The sequence below is a fragment of the Homo sapiens genome, chromosome 8 (assembly GCF_000001405.40).
Source record: "Homo sapiens chromosome 8, GRCh38.p14 Primary Assembly".
Classification (NCBI taxonomy): domain Eukaryota; kingdom Metazoa; phylum Chordata; class Mammalia; order Primates; family Hominidae; genus Homo; species Homo sapiens.
Window position 1 is genome coordinate 41948008 of NC_000008.11, and position 20653 is coordinate 41968660.

The 20653-nt window shown below is 38.2% G+C and overlaps 1 protein-coding gene across 2 annotated transcripts in view, besides 1 other annotated feature; it reads right to left on the reverse strand.

Moving 5' to 3' along the window:
- KAT6A (lysine acetyltransferase 6A) overlaps positions 1–20653 on the reverse strand; it is a 122509-nt gene that overhangs the window by 18529 nt on the left and 83327 nt on the right. For both annotated transcript variants that reach the window (NM_006766.5, NM_001305878.2), the window contains exons 9-10: positions 7289–7404; positions 1215–1356 (exon numbers count right to left, since the gene is read on the reverse strand). In NM_006766.5, the coding sequence (NP_006757.2) occupies positions 1215–1356; positions 7289–7404 (258 nt within the window). The remainder of the gene's footprint in view (positions 1–1214; positions 1357–7288; positions 7405–20653) is intronic.
- Positions 8981–9030: an enhancer, noted in NCBI's record as "active region_27296". NCBI's record gives its function as "activates an Ori minimal core promoter by ATAC-STARR-seq in GM12878 lymphoblastoid cells {active_cell/tissue: GM12878}" and the evidence as "EXISTENCE:reporter gene assay evidence [ECO:0000049][PMID:35858748]".

Below are 20653 nucleotides of genomic sequence, written 5' to 3' on the forward strand. Positions count from 1 at the left end.
CAGACTAGGAGAAGGTGTCCATGACCAGAACACTTTGGAACCTGGAAGCCATCCTTTGAAATGGCAGTATTATGCTATCTGCTGTTTTAAGACAACCAAATATATAAAACCTCATACCTTCAACATAGCAGGAACAGCCAGATAAGGAAGTGATAATCTGGTTTTAAAAGAGCAATTTTTGCTTTAATAAAAAGATGAATTGTAGCAATCCTTTAGATAGCAAGTTTCGTTTTCAAAGTACTTAACACAACAAAAGATCTAAATACAACCCTTCTAAAATACATTTATTAGGTAAAAGAAGATGTAACTATGTAGTCTAATCTATGCCAGCTGCCTGAAGCAATGCAATCTGACTACCATGATCGGGCTTGAACCCAGATAAAACTACTTAAGGGGGTACTAACTATTGCCACGCAGAAGCACCAAGCGGGTTCCTCAAGCAATCATGTGGTAAATGAGGCTCCAGGTTGGCCAGGCCCAGGAGCACTCTGCTGCTCTTTTGCTCCTGGCAGCCTTGTCTGTGTTCATGGAGTTGCCAGAGCTTTCTATCAAAACGCCAATGGATGCCCACATTAGCTCCCAAGACACTGTCTGCGATACTAACAGAACTCCTCAACAACCCAGGTAGTTTAATATTCTCTTCAAACAGTATATACCACACCTACCCCAGCTTCTCCCAAGGTAAAGAACTCCTCTACTGATCACTTAAAAGAGTCTTAGGGAGGACCAAGAAAAGTGAGAGACTGAGGGGATCCTGACAATCTGAAATTTTACTGTTACAGTAAGTAAACGGCACATAAGCAAGTACTCAATTAATACTTGGCACGAAAACCACAGAACTGAGGATCAAGAGCGCTACTAACAGCAATAGAGAATCACAGAGCAGAGGTCACACATCATCATCATCATCATCATCATCATCAAGATTTACTATTAAACAGATCTCTGTGAGATATTCCTTTTAAATAAGTGATAGAAATCCTTTCATTTAAATGCCATATTTCATAGATTCTAAGATGTACTTTTATCACATCTTAATATATGCAAAATCAACTGGCATTTTATAATCAAATGAAGTTTTAAAAATTATAATTAGTACTTTTTCCATTTTAGTGATACATAAAATAGACAATAGAAAGTTGCACAATAGATGCAATATAGGTGGCCCTACTTATGAAATGGATGAGAGGACAATTACTAAGTATCTACCTTACCTCAAAGACAGAAATATTATTCTTTCTGTAAATCTCATTGGCAGGAGGATGGAACCAACCACATTTCTTCATGTGCTGCTGCAGAATAGTTCTACTTTTCATATATTTTAGACAAAATTCACAAAGATACAATTTGGGCAGCCTGTAAACGATAATTAAACAAAAAAGACAGGGCTTTATATTTTAGAGTACTTCAAACTTCCACAATTATCATCTTTTTGCCTCTCATTACTACCCAGGTAACAGGTTAAAAAAAAAACTGCATATGCAAAAATACTGGACGGTAAAATGACAAAATATATAATTCAAATAAATTACTGTATCTTGTCTCATATTTAAGTACTGAGATGAAAAAATTAATTTAGTTGCTATCAATTTGGATAGTTATGCTTAAAATACTATCCTAGAATTAAAGAAAATAATATTTGCTAAGTAGATTAACACACACAAAAATGTTTGATTTGTGTGAAGACCATAACCATTTTTTCAAGTTCCCATTTTGAAAGCAGCTTTTGAAATATAATTTATCTGAGAACATCTAAAATTCTACTAAAGCTTTTCCCAAGGTATATTTATGGAACACAAATCCTGCAGGTACTAAGGATTTCGTGCTCAAATAAGGGCAAGAGGGCACACGCTTTTTCCCAACTTTCCTGGGGGACTCACAATGTGCATTAATTCTTCCCATATAACCTCACATCTTATTTTTTAAACTGTCATTCAATTCAGCACACTGAAAGTTTCCAAGGAACTTTTGTAGTATACTATTACTAAACATCTATGGTATACAATATTGTTTTTCAAAATCTCTCATGTTAGCCACACCAATACAACTTGTAATTATATTATTAGTACAACCCTTCCAAAATCAAGCACTAAGTGAAACAAATAATGACTGGCACTATAAATTAGAGTCAAGAAGCAGGAGCTAAGAGCATGGAAAGCAGTGTGTTGTTGGCTACTTTGTTTCCACTGCATTCTGCCTCAAGCCCCACTATTCAAGAGGAACCACTAGATAAAGAGGTTTTTCCTTCTTCACCACCACAGCTACAAATCACAGAATGAAATGGCTTGTTATAAACTTCATCATCTAATATGAGCACTAAATGTATTAACTAAGCCTTACAGGTGACCTACAACTGCCAGACCACCTTCCTGAATACCTGGATTCTGAGTAATTTCTTCTTCAAAGGAAGAGGAAGAATGAGTCTCCTTATGTAGATACAACGGGTGGCACCTCCCTCCCTAACTGTTTTACTTACCTCTTACATGTGCTAAATTCTCAGTGAGCAATCTTAACTTGTCACAGCATGAAGATACAGAAGTAACACTATCTGAGTACAGTTTCATTTTGAGAGCTAAATATTACAACTAAATACTTCCTATAATACGAATCAGAGAAACCTAAAAAATTTTGTGCTTTTTAAAGTATTTTTGTAAAAATGATAGAGTAAAAAACAGTGACAGACCATGAAGCTTTCCAAATTATGGTAAAGATAAATGCCAACTTTAAGGGCATCCAATCCAACTGTTAGGTCTCAGCACAGAGACATGAAAATAAAGTACCATTTATGTTAGCTAGATTTAGTCATATTTCATAATGTGTATATTTCAAAACATCATGTTGTACATGATAAATATATACAATTTTATCTGTCAATTAAAAAATCGAAAATATTCAATAAATGCTAATTACTTTTCTGGAAACAGAAGGGAGAGGGGAGAGAGGAAGGGAGGGAGGAAGGGAGGAAAATAAACTACAATTTATTTCCTAAGATCTGTGAGAGAAGGCCAAAAATGTTTAAAGCTCTTACAGTAACCAAATTGCTCAAGAAAACATCAGGAGAAATAAAATCTCTGAGAAAATTACTATCAAGTCTTCTCCAGTAAATGAAGAGTTCATGCCACTTCCTTAGAATGGCAAGATGTATGGCATTTTATTGATGATTAAAAAAAAAAAAACAAAACTTTAGTGAACCTTATTATGTGAAAAATAGTAAACTGAAAACAAGCATTATGATCTACTTTATTCCAATCTAGTTCTCACTGAAAACATTTTAAAAGCTCCTTACTTTATTAGAACCAAGCCCACTGGGATGATACTGCTAATCTAAAGGGAATCATCTAGAAAAAAAACTACTGGAAAACCAAAATATTTCTAGAAATATTATAAACAACTGCTGTTCTCTCACAGAAAAAAAAGATCTATCATATAGAAAGAACATGAGACTACAGGAAATGAAATGTAGTTATAAAGATTATGAATACTCCTAGCCCTAGAGAATCTTGTTGGGGGCTGCTTTTAGTGATCTTCCTGGCAGGACCTAGGTCTCAGCTATCAAACAGGTAGCTGTACGGTGGCTTTGATCAACTGCACATGAAGTGTCACCTCCACACTGGAAGTTGATTCTAAAGTCTGCCACAATGCTGATAACCCAGCCCATGGAATCAGGGCTGTGCTGCAGCTGGGCATGCTTCTCTAACTTCTAGAATGATGCAATTATTATTCTCAGGAATTTCTACAGTACCTTCTGGCTTCTGAACATGGCCCAACATAGTAGCAGTTTGTGCAGTCAACTTGTAGCAAATTTTTAATGTAACAATAAAAATTATACCAAATATTACTTAAATCTAAGATTATGGTACAAGTCAAGTGAGATCAACCTAGATACACATGCTACATGGAGCAGCGTAGGCCCAGTGATTAATGGTTATGGCTATGCAGTAAGAGAGAAGTGAGCTTCAAGTTCTGCCACTTATACACTGTACTGTCTGGGACCAGGTCTGCAAAATGAATACAGTAATATTCATCTCACAGAATTACACCAGAGATGCTTAGTCCAGTACCAAGCTCAATGGATGGTAATTACAGCTGCTATTACTTAACGATTATTATTTGTATTCTTCTTCCATCAATTTTACTCAATAATTTAATAGCCAAAGGCATTAGGGATTCTATTTGGTTTCTTCTTCAGTAACTGGGATGACGAGAATAATCAAACTGGTTCTAGTGACAATCTCATAATCTAAGCATCAAATAAAGTCCAGAGGAGAATCAAAAGGCAGAGGAATCTTCCTAGGCTACTCTATCACCTAGGAATCTACCTCTTTAGGATCTCAAAGCTAAGCTCAAAGCAGCACAGGAGCAGAGGGCATCCAATGATCATAATTTCTTTTGCCTTAAGCCCATCTATGTCATGCTCTTAATGGCAGAGTAGGTTTCGCAATGAACCTACTGATAAACCAAATGAAACAGTATTATTGCTTCATTGTTTTTGATTTTTAAAGACAGGGATACAAGATTACTTAATAGGCAATGCATACACAAATATCTGGATATGAAAGAACATTCCGTAAAGTATAATCCCACTTCCCAAAAGACGTTTTTCTTGTGATCTTTGCATTTTTGTTTGCTCCTATTGCCCTGTTTTTGTACGTTACAGTGTTTGAAACCTTTAATAAGAAAATAATTTATAAGCAGTTTAGCACGAAATAATAAATAGGCATTAACAAAATTAAGAATAGAGGTTTATTATTTGGAAAATGTAAGATCTCCAAACATTTTAGTCACCTCAAGTTTCAAGCTCATTTAAGTAAATATAATTTTTTTAAAAAATGTAACCAAGAGAACTACGAATATAAAGATAGAAAAAAAGTCATAATTACTCAAGAACCTATTAAAAATTACAGGATATTTTCTAATTGAAAACTCAAAGAACCCTATCCAATGGATGAAAAAATATACAGAAAATGTCTAAAACTGCTTAAGGAAGTTGATGAATTTTACAAGTTCCTATCCTGTTTCTGCTTTCTACTGGTTCCTATTATACTTTTTTTGGTTATTTTTTGATGGCATTATTTATTCTTTCACTGATAACTAGTCTCCTCACACCTGTTTCTAATGAAAATCTCATCAGAACAAAAGCTACATTTTCAATAAATCCTTTAAATATCTATCTTAAAAGAAAACAGTTTATGATTCCATTCTCATCATTCTCTTGAACAAAAGTAAATGCTAGCCCTCTATTTCCATTCCTGAATCTATTTCCTCTCCCCACCTTGAGTAGACAAGGGGCCTGTGGTTTCCATCTATCTGTACTATAGTCTCCGGAACAGTTGACAGACATGTGGAAAAGCTTTCTTTTCTAAGTTGAGTGCTCTTGTGATTTGGGCAGCTTGCAAAGAGCTCACTTAAAAAATGATCATAACAACTTATTTTAAACCTGATGAAAAAATTAATTCCTTGGCATATTTATTTTCTTTTCTTTTGAGATGGAGTTTCGCTCCTGTTGCCCAGGCGAGAGTGCAATGGCGCGATCTCAGTTCACTGCAACCTCCGCCTCCCAGGTTCAAGCGATTCTCCTACCTCAGCCTCCTGAGTAGCTGGGATTACAGGCACCCACCACCACGCCTGGCTAATTTTTATATTTTTAGTAGAGACAGGGTTTCGCCATGTTGGCCAGGCTGGTCTTGAACTCCTGACCTCAGGCGATCTGCCTATCTCGGCCTCCCAAAGTGCTGGGATTACAGGCGTGTCCTTGGCGTATTTCTTCTCGGTCATAAAAGATCTTGGCTATTCAGAATTCCTGAGGAATGAGTTAACTTGAACGCTGAGTTCTGTAGGTAGTTGAGGAAGTTCCTGCCTTCCTTTAACATATATACATATACAATACATACATGTATAATATATATGTATAATATGGAAATGCAAATACAATGTAACCTTATCTTAAAGTCACATTAATTGTTGTCAGCTCATGAAACAGTGTGCTTCCTTAAAGATACACCACAGTGTTTGGGGCTAACTGATCCCACAGTAAATGGCCCTCAATTGCTGTGTTTCATGAGCTTGTGTGTTAGTTTCCTGGGGTTTTGCTTTTTCTTCTGTTTTTGTTAGCTGTCACTTTGAGGTCAGTGTCTGAAATGGCATTCTTACCCCTATTTTTCTACTTCGACTGTAGACTAGAGAAGCAAGTTATTATATGGAAAGAAAAAGTAAAAAGATAAATAAGTTTTACTGGATGGCCCTTTTAACAACTATACTGGCCTATTCCTAGTTTCTTGGCAACAACCCATGTTAAGGCACTCAACATATTGTAAGGTACTAAATAAATTTTGCTAATATTTTGGCCAGGCAATGTTACTACATGGGTGAAAACTTACATGATGAGAATATTCTGAACATGTATTTAACCCACAAAGCACCATGATGTATTATTTCTTGTAACACCCTACTAAATGGGAAACTGAGGCATAAGTAGTTTATAGATTAGAGAGCATTAATGTCACTACAATTAACTAGTATTTAATTTTTTGATCTCATTTCATCTTTTAATTTTAACCATAAAGAAAAAATATAATAACTGACATTATTGAGCACTTACCATTTTCTAAGTGATTTACATGTTGTAGCTCATTTAATGTCCTCAATATCCCCACGAAGTAAGTACTATTACTATCTCTGCTTTACAGATGAGGAAACTGAGGCACAGAGCAGTTGGGCAGCTTTTAAGGTTACACAACTTACCAATTTCAGAGCTGAGTCATGAAACCACTTTAGCTCCACCAAGCTGGTGAGTGATCAATGTTTATTAATATATCTGGAAGCCCAAACTATTTATATATAATTTTTACACCAATTGTCCAATTATTTCTGGGAAAACAAACCATTTATTAAGTTTGTCAAATTATAAATATTTATTTACATCAAAGACTAATCAACTGAAACTTTATATTAATTTATATATGAGTTCTTCTCTTTTTCAAAATTCTTAGTGATAGGAGTGAAGACAAATTTCTCTTAAAAAAAAAATAAAAAAGCATTCCCCTTTTATTGTGACCATGCATTCGGGTTTCTCATTTTAAACATCAGCGTCTGAGAGGTTACAGAAGAGAACATCTAAAGCAAACTGGGATGAAGTGGCTGCCAAAGCCGCTGCTATTATGGACATTTAAAAGCCCCCAGTTTCCTCAAATGTAAAGGATAAGGTGGACTCAAACATCTTCAAGATCCCTTCCAGTTCCAGACTTCTATGGATCTCAAAACAGAAGGTCAAGGGTCTCTCAAAACATACCTTGAGTATTCTTGAGGATATGGGGAGGAGTACCAGGTGTGAATTTCATACTTCCCAAACTCAATGACAGAGGGACAGCGGACTTGTGGATCAGGGGGACCAGTCACTCCAACTTTCTGTGCAGTCAAGAAATACATTCAAAAGTTAGCTAAATTAGACACACTGAGATAACAAAGAAAGTTCTGAATCTAAATGTTGTCTTCTCAGGACTCCAAAGGAGTAAAACAAAAACAAAAGCCAGAACAAGCTAACATATTTTGAAATAAGTTATATTATTCCTTAAACAGAGCACCCAGATGAAAAATAAAAATGCTAATAAATCTCTTAGAACCAAATGCATTGGGTGTTGCTGCATTTCTACATTTAATAACAGTAAAAATATTTTCCTCAATTAAACTCACTCTTAATGACTTAATATTAAAGAGAAACTGCTGATACTTGGTGATATAAGATAAAGAATAATTTACAAGTGAGGGAGGGGGACACTGCATATTTGCTGAAGTCCTACCACACTGCCTCCGCTGACAACAATGGAGATGCCCTACTGAATATGTAAGCACACAAAGGATGATTTTTTAGTTTGGGAAAGTAGATATTTAAGAGAAATACAAAAAGAATCTGACAAAACAAGTATCAAGAGAGTCTTCATTTCATACTATGCCTAAAATTCCCTTCATTAGTAGCTCTGCATAGATTTAACCAAAGAAAGACACTCTGTTATATACAGACCTTCTCTTTTTTCTGCCTTCTCTTTACAATGAAAACAATCTCTATACCCCTCATCCCTGCAATAGTCTGAACTACATTATCTAAACAGAGAATAATTTTTAAAGCCTTTATGACTTCCCTGACTTTCCAGATCAGAAATTCAAACATAAGTACGTAGCTCAAGAAAATAAAGGCTGTTAAGGGTCTTAACATGTTAACTCAAGGGCAACATGACTTGCTCTGCACCCAGTCTAGCAACAGATGCATATACACACTCATGTCCATGTGTGTGAGTGCAGATATATCATGGATGCTCTACAAATACTAACTGACAAGAAAAAGACAAAAGAGTTTAGCCTAACCAAAAACAAGCATTAATAACTCTTCCCCAAAAGGATAACTGAAATTATCCTTCAATTTTATGCTTTAAAGACCACTAAGAGACTAGTAAAAATCCCTTGTTGGAGCATGCAGACACACATACATATTTTATAACAAAACTAAAAGAAATTTTTATTCATTGGTTTTATATAAATCCGTTTAAAGAAGCCTCTTCACCATAACTCATTAGAGACCTTCTGGTCTTTCTAACCATTCTCTTTTATAAAAGGCCAAGGGACTTATCTCAGGTTTCATACTGGAATGTAGCCAAATGAAACCTCAAGCTCTTCCTTAGACACCTCAAAACAAAAGACAAAGATCTGTTTGTGGGATGAATTGTGTTATAACACCACCAAGTACTGGGGCTCCTCCAAATACAAAACCAAAAACAATGAAGAATACATAATACAGGGTTAAAATAAGATTTCTTTCATTTCTCAAAACCCAAACAGAACTTTGTAAAAAGATTTTTTAAAGGCTGTTTTTAAACTACATTCTAGAATCAACTACTCTAACTCATAAAGTACTATCTTTTCATCTATCTTCACAACTCAAAGTAATAACAACAGTATAGGAAACTTTCAAAATAACTAAATACCAGAAACCAGATCTAACTTCCTGAGGCAAGGATCAGATAGAAAGCCCAAAAGCTGAAGTCATGCACCTGCTGCGGCACTGTCTGTTGTTTGAGGGTCTTCCCATCAGCTGCCCGCTGCTCTTCTAGGCGGATGCCCGATGTGAAAGTGGATATCCAGTTCCAGTACAGCTGTTTGCACATCACCACAACTGCGCACGTCTGTCCAGAATGGGACCTGTGGTAGGTTCCCCTCTGCCCACACCCGCCTTTAACCTTTGCACCGTGAAACGTTCCTGCACATGCGCTCATGTGTGAGCCCGCCTCCACTCCCAGCTCCCCTGAGCAAGCCTCCACAGCAAGGGTGTTTCCTTTTACGAAGATTTAGAAATCAGCAAGGCTCTCTACACAGGGAGGAAGAAATGGCTACACAGAAACCACTCATTCCAGTCCTAGCCAAAATCAAACTGTCATATCTGAACTACAAGGTTACCTTTGCTAGGTCTTTTTATTTTAACATTTCAACCAAAGTACGTTTTCGCTAAACATGTGACTTTCCAAAGCAGCAGGTGTCTAATATAATCAAGGGCACAAAATATATTTAAATGTTTAACTCAAATTCTGCCACTTCATGTCCTCCTAATTTAAATATGCCAAATTATTTAAAAGAAGACGTATGTTCCAGGCTAGAATTGACCTTTTAATCTAAGATAACTAACAGGGGGTAGCAAGGGGGTGGATTAAATACACTAATAATTGGGCTAAACCAAAAGAAAACTTTATGCCTACTGCTAGATAATAAAGCTTTTATTACCACCAGTTTATATGAAAAGAGTATTACTCTTCTACAAAAACTTAAGCTTCAATTAAATGACTCATCTAATTCCAGTTTGTAACATAAAAAAGGCCATTCTTGCAGTATCCCCAACTCTGGATCTGGTAGGGACACCAAAATTGTGTAAATAATTTAACAATTTCTGTAAACACAGAGCTGCTGCCTTCCCCCATCTGTCCACTGGAGCGCTCTCACTTGCCCTTCCCTCTCCATTCCCCAAGGGGGTGCAATGTTTTGAGGAGAGAGGGAGGTACCCCTTTATTATCAGTGTGAGGCTGGGAATGTGGGGAGAAGAGATGGCTTTCTGGCATTTGAACATTTTCCCACAGAAACACTACAGTAAGTAATTCCATTCATTAGGGATTAAAAGTTACATGATGAAAGAGGTATGAAAGAATGAATTCACATGCTCCACAACAGAGAGAGCATGAATTTAAGGACTAGAGAAAATCATGTTCGTGGAGCACCTATTGTGCTAGACTCTGACCTGAGCCTTATGTCGTTACCTCCTTTGGTCCCCACAATCCATCCTTCAAAGTAGAAAACAATATACCCACTCTGCAGATGAAAAAATAAGCCTCAGATAAGCCTCAGGTTAAGAGGCAAAAGCACCGGGCAGGAACAGCGAGTGAAGCATAAAGACAGAAAAGAATGACATGGGTTGAGATGTGACGGAAGTAACGACAGCCCTCAACTAATTCCTCCCTAAATTCCCAAAGTTTATGGGTAAGTTTTTAAAAACGGGAACTTGGTTTTCCAAAGAAATGAAGCTACAAGTCCACAAACTTTTAACCCAAAACCCTTGGACTGGAGTAGAATGTGTTTTGGAATTCTGAATTTTTCTGATTTTAGAAAAGTATTAGTACATATATGTGTATAGTACATGCATGTGTATAGCCCTAGTAGGATTTGGAGCAGCACTCCATAATCAGACACACTAAAATTTCTTTAGCAAAGCATATGAATATTCACATTAACTGGCATAAGTAAGGAATACAAATAGTCTCACATCAGCTCAGATCATGTTTTTGTCAGTAACTCAGTTCAGGTCAAGTGGGACTTTATTGCAAAATGAGTTAGAAAAGGCCGGGCGTGGTGGCTCACGCCTGTAATCCCAGCACTCTGGGAGGCTGAGGTGGGCGGATCACGAGGTCAGGAGATCGAGACCATCCTGGCTAACAAGGTGAAACCCCATCTCTACTAAAAATACAAAAAATTAGCTGAGGAGCTTGGTGGCGGGCACCTGTAGTCCCAGCTACTCAGAGGCTGAGGCAGGAGAATGGGGTGAACCCAGGAGGCAGAGCTTGCAATGAGCCCAGATCGCGCCACTGCACTCCAGCCTGGGTGACAGAGCCAGACTGTCTCGAAAAAAAAAAAAAAAAAAAAAGTTGGAAAAGTTTCTTTCCATTCTCCAAAGAAGATATACAGATGGCCAATAAGCTCATGAAAAGATGCTCAACATCACTAATAATTAGGAAAATGTAAATCAAACCACAATCAGATACTACTTCACACCCATTAGGATGGTTATTATTTTTAAATGCAAAACACCAGAAAATAACAGATGTTGGTGAAGATGTGGAAAAATCAGAACCCTTGTCCCATTGCTGGCGGGAATACAAAATGGCACAGCTGCTGTGGAAAACAGTATGATGGTTCCTCAAAAAAGTAAACAGAATTACCACATAATCTAGCAATTCCACTGCTGATTATAGACCCCACAGAACTGAAAGCAGTTCTTTGTATATGGGTATCTATTTGCATACTCATGTTCATAGCAGCACTATTTACAACCCAAGTATCCACTGACAGATGAATGGATAAACCAAATGTGGTACATACGTACAATGGAATATTCTCCAGCCTTAAAAAGGAAGGCAATGGTTGGGCGCTGGTGGCTCACGCCTGTAATCCCAGCACTCTGGGAGGCCAAGGTGGGCAGATCATGAGGTCAAGAGATTGAGACCATCCTGGCCAACGTGGTGAAACCCCGTCTCTACTAAAAATACAATAATTAGCTGGGTGTATGGCACATGCCTGTAGTCCCAGCTACTCGGGAGGCTGAGGCAGAAGAAACACTTGAACCCGGGAGGCAGAGGTTGCAGTGAGCCAAGATCGCGCAACTGCACTCCAGCCTGGGCAACAGTGCAAGACTCTGTCTTTAAAGAAAAAAAAAAAAAATACAAGGAAGGCAATTCTGACACAGGCTAAAATACATATGAACCTTGGGGACATTATGCTAAGTGAAACAGCCAGACACAAAAGGACAAATATTGTATAATTCTACTTATGGTACCTAGAGTAGACAAATTAATAAAGGCAGAAGACAGAATGATGCTTACCAGGGGTGGGGGTAGGGGTGGGGGGTTGGGAGTTGTTTAATGGGTACAGAGTTCCAGTTTTGCAAGATAAAAAAGTTCTGGAAATAGATGATGGTGATGATTGCACAACAAGGTGAATGTCTTTAATGCCACTGAATTGTACACTTAAAAATGGTCTGGTTAGGCCGGGCGCAGTGGCTCATGCCTGTAATCCCAGCACTTTGGGAGGCCAAGGCCGGCGGATCACGATCGAGACCATCCTGGCTAGCAAGGTGAAACCCCGTCTCTACTAAAAATACAAAGAATGGCGAGAACCCGGGAGGCGGAGCTTGCAGTGAGCCAAGATGACGCCGCTGTACTCCAGCCTGGGTGACAGAGTAAGACTCCGTCTCAAAAAAAAAAAAAAAAAAAAGTCTGGTTAAAATAACTTTTACATTATGTATATTTTACCACAATTATTTTTTTTCAAATTTTCAGGACTCCTTAAATTTCAGGATTCTGGATATTGTGACCTATCTTTCCCTTTTCCTAAGCCTTTTTGCTCTACACTCAGACTTCTCTTTATCCATCTCCTTTGCTAATTCTTTTACCATTAAATATTGACAAAATCTAGAATTCTGTCCTCGGCCATCTTACCTTTTCCATCCGGAGGACCCATAATCCAGTGCTTCCATCAGCTTTCCACTCTCCCCACACCCTCCTTTCTCTCTACGCAGCTTAGATTCTAAGGTCTTTTTCCCTGTAATTCCACCCTTTGCATAGACCTTTAACTCTCTAGTTTCTCTTCTAATTTCACAACAAAATCCTAACCCCTGTTAAATTCAACTCTTCACATAATCGAAGTTATTACCTTAATGTGAATATGGGTGGAGAAAAACAGAGAATCATGCTACCCAGTCTCACATTATACACCTACCCACAAACCTCAAGCAGGTCCTGATGCTTCCTACTCCATTCACTCTCCCGTTCTGAAAGACAACTGCACCCTTTCTCCTCTGCTCAAGCCTCCAACACTGCTTACTCCACCTTCACTTTCAGCCAATGCTTTTGCTTCCTACTGCACTAAACTGGACAAAATCAAAAGAAAACTTCTGCAATTTTTCCCACCCACATCTGTCTGCCTCCACCTTTGTGCCACACATCCTGCCTTTCACCAATACTATGGCTAAAGATTGAGCTCCTAAGCCCACGGCTTCCGTTTGTGCATGAGATAACATCTTCCTGCTCCCTAGCCAAAGAACATCACCCAGCAGTTCCCCTCCTATCTTCTGCATCATCAGCTTTCCCTCTACCAGAGCATTCCATCAGCATACAAACAGCTGTTATTCATTCCATATTTTAAAAAGGGGGAGAGGGGTGTGTGGGCATGGTGGCTCACCCCTGTAATCCTAACACTTTGGGAGGCCAAGGTGGGCGGGTCACAAGGTCAAGAGATCGAGACCATCCTGGCCAACATGGTGAAACCCTGTCCCTACTAAAAATAGAAAAATTAGTTGGGAGTGGTGGCGCACACCTGTAGTACCAGCTACTCGGGAGGCTGAGGCAGGAGAATCCCTTGAACCCGGGACGTGGCGGTTGCAATGAGCCGAGATGGTGCCACTGCACTCCAGCCTGGTGACAGAGCGAGACTCCATCTCAAAAAAAAAAAAAAAAAAAAAAGTATCTTCTTTAGCCCTCACAGCTCTATCCAACTCTCCCTTTCTCTGCTCCTAATTACTGTAAAAAACCTCAAAACAATGGCCACATATTACTACTATAACCAATTTCTCCTTCCATTCTTTCTTGAAACCACTCCAATTATCTCTTCACCCTCCCCTGTCCCCATCATGGAAACAGTTTCTCAAGATTACTTCCTTGTTGCTAAGCTGGACAGTCAATTTTCAGTTCTCTTCTTACTTGGCCTATTTGCAGAATTTAAAAACTGATCCTTCCTTCTTACAACACATTCTTCACTTAGCTTCTAAGGAACTACACCTTCATGTTTTTTTTCCTACTTCACTGGCCATTCCTTCTCAGTTTCTCCAATCTCTAAAAGTTGGAATAACCTAGACTCAAAGTTCTTCTCTTCTCCCTTGGTGATCTCATCTAGTCTCATTTTTCAAAAAAACAACCTACTTGCTGGTGAGTCCTGAATTGAAAATTTCAGCCCAGACCTGTTCTTTGAACTCCAGAGACACATATCCCACTATCTACTTGATATCCCCTCTCACATCAGGTTTAACACATCCAAAATCAAACTCCTAAATCTTTTCCCCAAATGTGCTCTTCCTATTTCCCCATCTCAGTAGATGGCAACTCCGTCTTCCAACTGTGTTCTGGCATCGTCTCGGACTCCCTGCTTTCACAATGCATCAACATATCCCAATGGGTCTACCTTCAAAACATACTCAGAATTCCAATTCCACCACTACCACCATGATCCAAACACCATGTCTCTTACTTCAATAATTTCAAGAGTTTCCCAAAGTTCTCCCTGCTTGTATACTGCCCCCCGCCCCCTCAATCTACACAGGAGCCAGAGAAATCCTGTTAAAACCAAAGTCATTCTTCTGCTCAAAACCCTCCCAGGGTTCCCATCTCATTCAGAGTAAAAGTCAAAGTCCTTACAATGGCCAAGAAGACCCTACAAAAGCCAGCCTTCCATTACCCTTCTGTCCTTGTCATCTGCTATTTTGAGCCTTATGTATTTGGCTCTAGTCACACTGGCCTCCTTGTACTTCCTTGATCATGCCAAGCACAAATTGTGACTCGGGTCTTTGCATTTCCTGTTCCTATGCCTGGAATGCTATTCCCCCGTTACCTACATGTTTCATCCCCTCACCTCCTTCAAGTTTTTGCTAAATGTCAGAGAGACAGTCCCCACCTGACCAATTTAATACTGCATACATTAATCCTCTCCCTCTGAATTCTCCCTCTTCCTCCCCTGCTTTTTCTCCATAACACTACCACATGGCATACCATTTATTTTAACCCATTCCAACCCAAACTAAACTGTAAGCTCCCAAGAGGAAGACATTTTTTATTTAATGTTTTGTTCACTGCTAAATCTCTAGTGCTTGGAACATGGTAGCCAGTATTTAGTAATATTTATTATTAGATAAATATTATCTTTGATAAAAATTTTAAACAATCACATGTGCTGGTAACACAGCAAATCTCCCACCCAAGGTCTCCTGTATATACATGTACACAACCATCTACCAAAGTTCTCCACTTTAGATTTCACACAATCCCACAACTGTGTAAGCATGGTCTCTTCTTCCATCTAAATAAGCTTCTTTTCCTATATTCCTACATGTAATACCATCATCTACTCCAAATAGAACACTAGAAGACCTACTTGGTTCTGCCCTCTCCTTCAATCCTAACTCCCAATCCAACAGCAGTCTTTTCCATTCTATCTTAAGTCTTTCTCAAAACGATTATCTATCTCTGTCTCCTATCTATCTCTTCTACCTTCATTTAGGCCCCAGTCACTTTTCATTTTGACTACTGTAATCATCTGACTGGTCCCTTGCTCAGGTGTTCCTCAATCCATTGCTGACAATATCACCAGACTTGAGTTTCTAAAATACAAATATGATGTCATCCACTTTTTAGAAATTCTTTAGCAGTTCCTCAAGAGCTATTTAGCTACTACTTAACTACTTTAAAGAGCTACTTTACCTGCAAGATTAAGTACAAACTCCTTAATATGAAACACAAAATCTTCATGATCTAGTACCCCTCCAATATCATCTCTTGTTTGAACTCCAACCAACTGCACACAGCTCCGAGAATACACGATTTCTCACACCCAAACTTGCTACTAGAAATGCCTTCTCACTCTTCTCCAATAGTAAACTTACTCATCCCTTCAGCACCCTACACAAATGTCACCTCCTCTACAAAGACTTAAAATTTTAGTTAACCACAATAACTAAAAATAGAACAATAACATCCCTAGATGTCTTCCTGTTCATTCTCACTGCAATTTATGCATATCTCCACAGTAATACTATATCATAAATTAAGCAGTTAAGGCCATGGAGTCAGAATACCAGGGTTCAAATATTGACTCTGAAACTTAACAATTTATAACTCTAGGTAAAACAATCCTTCTAATGTTTCCATTTCTTCATTTGTAAGATGAGGCCAAGTAATTAATAATAAAGTTGTATTAAATGAAACAAATTAATATATAATGCTGAATATAGTATTTTACATATAATAAGAGGGTATCTATTACTAACCACATGGCTTTAATTACTTGTTTATTCAATAGTCCCCCTTATCCACCCACTGGGAATACACCTTTCCAAAACCTACAGTGAATACCTGAAAACTGCAGATAGTATTAAATGTTATACAAGTTGAGTATCCCTAATCTGAAAATCTGAAACCTGAAATGCTCCAAAATCTGAAACGTTTTGAGCACTAATGATACTCAAACGAAATGCTCGTAAGAACACTGCAGATTTTGAATTCAGGATGCTCGACGGCTAAGCATATGATGCAAATATTCCAAAATCTGAAAAAAAAAAAAAAAAAAAATCAAAATCCAAAACACTTCTGGTCCCAAGCATTTTGGATAAGGGATAGTCAACCTGTATATACTATGTTTTTTCCTATTCATCCATACCCATGATATTTAATTTATAAATTAGGCACAGTAAGAGATTAACAACAATAACTAAAAACAGAACAATTAAAACGATGTACTGTAATAACAGTTACGTGAATGTGGTCTCTCTCAAAATATCCTATTGCATGGTATGCACCCTTCTGATGATGATGAGGAGGAGGAGACGATGATAATAAAATTCAGACCTTGGCAAGCCAAGGGTAACTGAAACCATGGAAAGCAAAACCACAGATAAAAGGGGGATTACTGTAAATACAGGAGATAGGGTGATTATTGGCCCATCAGATCAACAAATATTTGAGGACCTACTACATGCAAGTCACACTGTGGAGATGATATAGAAAACACAGTATCTGCCCATAAAGGTGTTGTAAGACAGGCAGTCCTTGTTTTTGATGGCACTGTGTTAATGGAAACAGGTACACATCAGAATTGTGTCCGTGCTTCTGAGGTGACAGATTTGACCTTAGTTCTGATATGCATGGGTTTTTTGTATGTTGTAATAAAACTTTATTTACGAACGCTAACATTTTTCACATAATTTTCACATGTCCATAAATATTATTCTTTTTATTTTTGTCCAACTGTTTAAAAATATTAAAACCATCCTCAGCTTGCAGGTCATACAAAACAGGCTGTGGATGGGACTGGGCCACAGGCCATATTTTGCCAACCCTAACACAGGTGAAGCAGTTTCTAAGCTGTATCTATGCCCTCAAAAATGACTTTCTGCATTACCTTTATGAGTCTTTTTATTATTCAAAACATCCTCTTATCTAGCCAAGATGAACTTTCCCAACTGGCTTCAAACCACTTTTTTTATTACAGCGTCAGAGAACCTGGAAGTCATCTTTGATCATCTCCTGTTCCTTCAATCTACTTTAGTTTGATAAGCATGGGTTTCAGTTAACATTGCACCATGCAAAGTGAGGAATAGCTGGAGTTTAGTTTGAGATAAGACAGGGTGGAACATCTGTTGGGCAATGGTAATACACTGAATTACTAGTATTAAGCTGCATTTTGGAGCATTTTGAAAGCTAGTAACAAGATGTCAGTTTCGGCATGACGGGATTTTAAGGTACCCCCATGACATCTTTTTGCTGTTAAGTGATGTCTCCTTGATGCTGCTGAAAGTAGGAATGGTAGGTGGGGCGATGTTTACTGTGTTAAGGCATTTACCCATTAAATATAAGTCACATATTAAAGGCCGCATAGATGTATTTTTAGTTCATTGGATAATTTAGCACAACTTATTAAAATAGTAGTTAAGAGCCTGGGAACTAGAAAAGGCTAGCACAGTTCAAATCCTATCTCGGCTGAATCACCTTAGTTGGGCAAGTCACTATCAGATTTGTTGAAAAGCTTAAACGAGTTGATATTTGCACAGAACTTACAGCACTATGCCATTCATGCAGTGAGTGCCAAATAAATGTGAGCTTCTGCTTGCTATCTCAGTGGCAGGTTCTTGGAATACACAGATAATACGTCTTTGCCCTCCAGCTGGAATTATTTATAGTAGTCTCCCCTTATCCCCAGCTTTGCTTTTCGAGGTTCTAGTTACCTGTCGTCAGCCTCGGTGCAAATTTTATCATCTCACACCGTCAGAAGAGTTAGTACAGTACAATAGTACAATAAGAGATTTAGAGAGAGACAGACTACATTCATGTAACACAATACAGTACATACAGGGTTCAGTACAGTCCACGGTTTCAGGCATCTACTGGGGATCTTGGAGCGTATCACTGGTGGATACGCGGGGACTCCTGTATAGTAGTCATTGCTTCCTCAAAGCTGAAGTTAATGTTGTTTACTCCATCTGATAAGCCCTAGTTCTCTCCATCTACCTAAATCCTCATCATTCCTTAGGACTGCTGCTTCTGTGATCATCTCAGGTTGCGCCAATTCTCACACATCTTAGTATACTGTGAACATCTGAGACAAGTCTGAATCATTTAATACAGCAATGCACTATGTTTCATTGGTACTCTAAGCTATTGTCTGCTGTGTATCTTCCTATGCACCTTTACCTGCCTGCACTTAGCACATGCCTAATGATTTTGCTACCCCCATGACATCCCGTATACAGAATAATGCAGGATGTTATTGTGATTAAGGGTACAGAATTAGAAGTCACATGGCCTAAGTTTTAATTTCGGCTCCACTAACATAAAAACTTACAGGAAGTCACTGAACTAATAGTGTTGGTTTCCTCATATGTAAAATGGGGTAACACCTCTACATCATGGGGTTAATAAAGTTGTTGAAACTAGCTTACTGTATTTTTAATAATGATTTAACTCTTCACGCAAAGAAATTTTAATAACCCGCACAGATTTCAAAAATGCTCTGTAACTTTCCAGAACCATACAAAAACCAAAGGAATCCTTCAGAATCAGAAAGCATTAAAATCTGTATGAAAATACAATGTGCTCTTTGATATTTTATGTAAAAATCATTCTATATATTTCAAGAAGGTGGTCATGCTCCACTGGAATGAACTGAATACAAACGCGTCTTTCTTTTTTTAAAAAAAAAAATTTATTTATTTATTTATTTATTTATTTATTTTTATTATACTTTAAGTTTTAGGGTACATGTGCACAATGTGCAGGTTAGTTACATATGTATACATGTGACATGCTGGTGCGCTGCACCCACTAACTCGTCATCTAGCATTAGGTATATCTCCCAATGCTATCCCTCCTCCCTCCCCCCACCCCACAACAGTCCTCAGAGTGTGATGTTCCCCTTCCTGTGTCCATGTGTTCTCACTGTTCAATTCCCACCTATGAGTGAGAATATGCAGTGTTTGGTTTTTTGTTCTTGCGATAGTTTACTGAGAATGATGATTTCCAATTTCATCCATGTCCCTACAAAGGACATGAACTCATCATTTTTTATGGCTACATAGTATTCCATGGTGTATATGTGCCGCATTTTCTTAACCCGGTCTATCATTGTTGGACATTTGGGTTGGTTCCAAGTCTTTGCTATTGTGAATAGTGCCACAATAAACATACGTGTGCATGTGACAGAGATATAGATCAATGGAACAGAACAGAGCCCTCAGAAATAACGTCGCATATCTACAACTATCTGATCTTTGACAAACCTGAGAAAAACAAGCAATGGGGAAAGGATTCCCTATTTAATAAATGGTGCTGGGAAAACTGGCTACCCATATGTAGAAAGCTGAAACTGGATCCCTTCCTTACACCTTATACAAAAATCAATTCAAGATGGATTAAAGACTTAAACGTTAGACCTAAAACCATAAAAACCCTAGAAGAAAACCTAGGCATTACCATTCAGGACATAGGCATGGGCAAGGACTTCATGTCTAAAACACCAAAAGCAACGGCAACAAAAGCCAAAATTGACAAATGGGATCTAATTAAACTAAAGAGCTTCTGCACAGCAAAAGAAACTACCATCAGAGTGAACAGGCAACCCACAAAATGGGACAAAATTTTTGCAACCTACTCTTCTGACAAAGGGCTAATATACAGAATCTACAATGAACTCAAACAAATTTACAAGAAAAAAACAAACAACCCCATGAAAAAGTGGGCAAAGGACATGAACAGACACTTCTCAAAAGAAGACATTTATGCAGCCAAAAAACACATGAAAAAATGCTCACCATCACTGGCCATCAGAGAAATGCAAATCAAAACCACAGTGAGATATCATCTCACACCAGTTAGAATGGCAATCATTAAAAAGTCAGGAAACAACAGGTGCTGGAGAGGATGTGGAGAAATAGGAACACTTTTACACTGTTGGTGGGACTGTAAACTAGTTCAACCACTGTGGAAGTCAGTGTGGCGATTCCTCAGGGATCTAGAGCTAGAAATACCATTTGACCCAGCCATCCCATTACTGGGTATATACCCAAAGGACTATAAATCATGCTGCTATA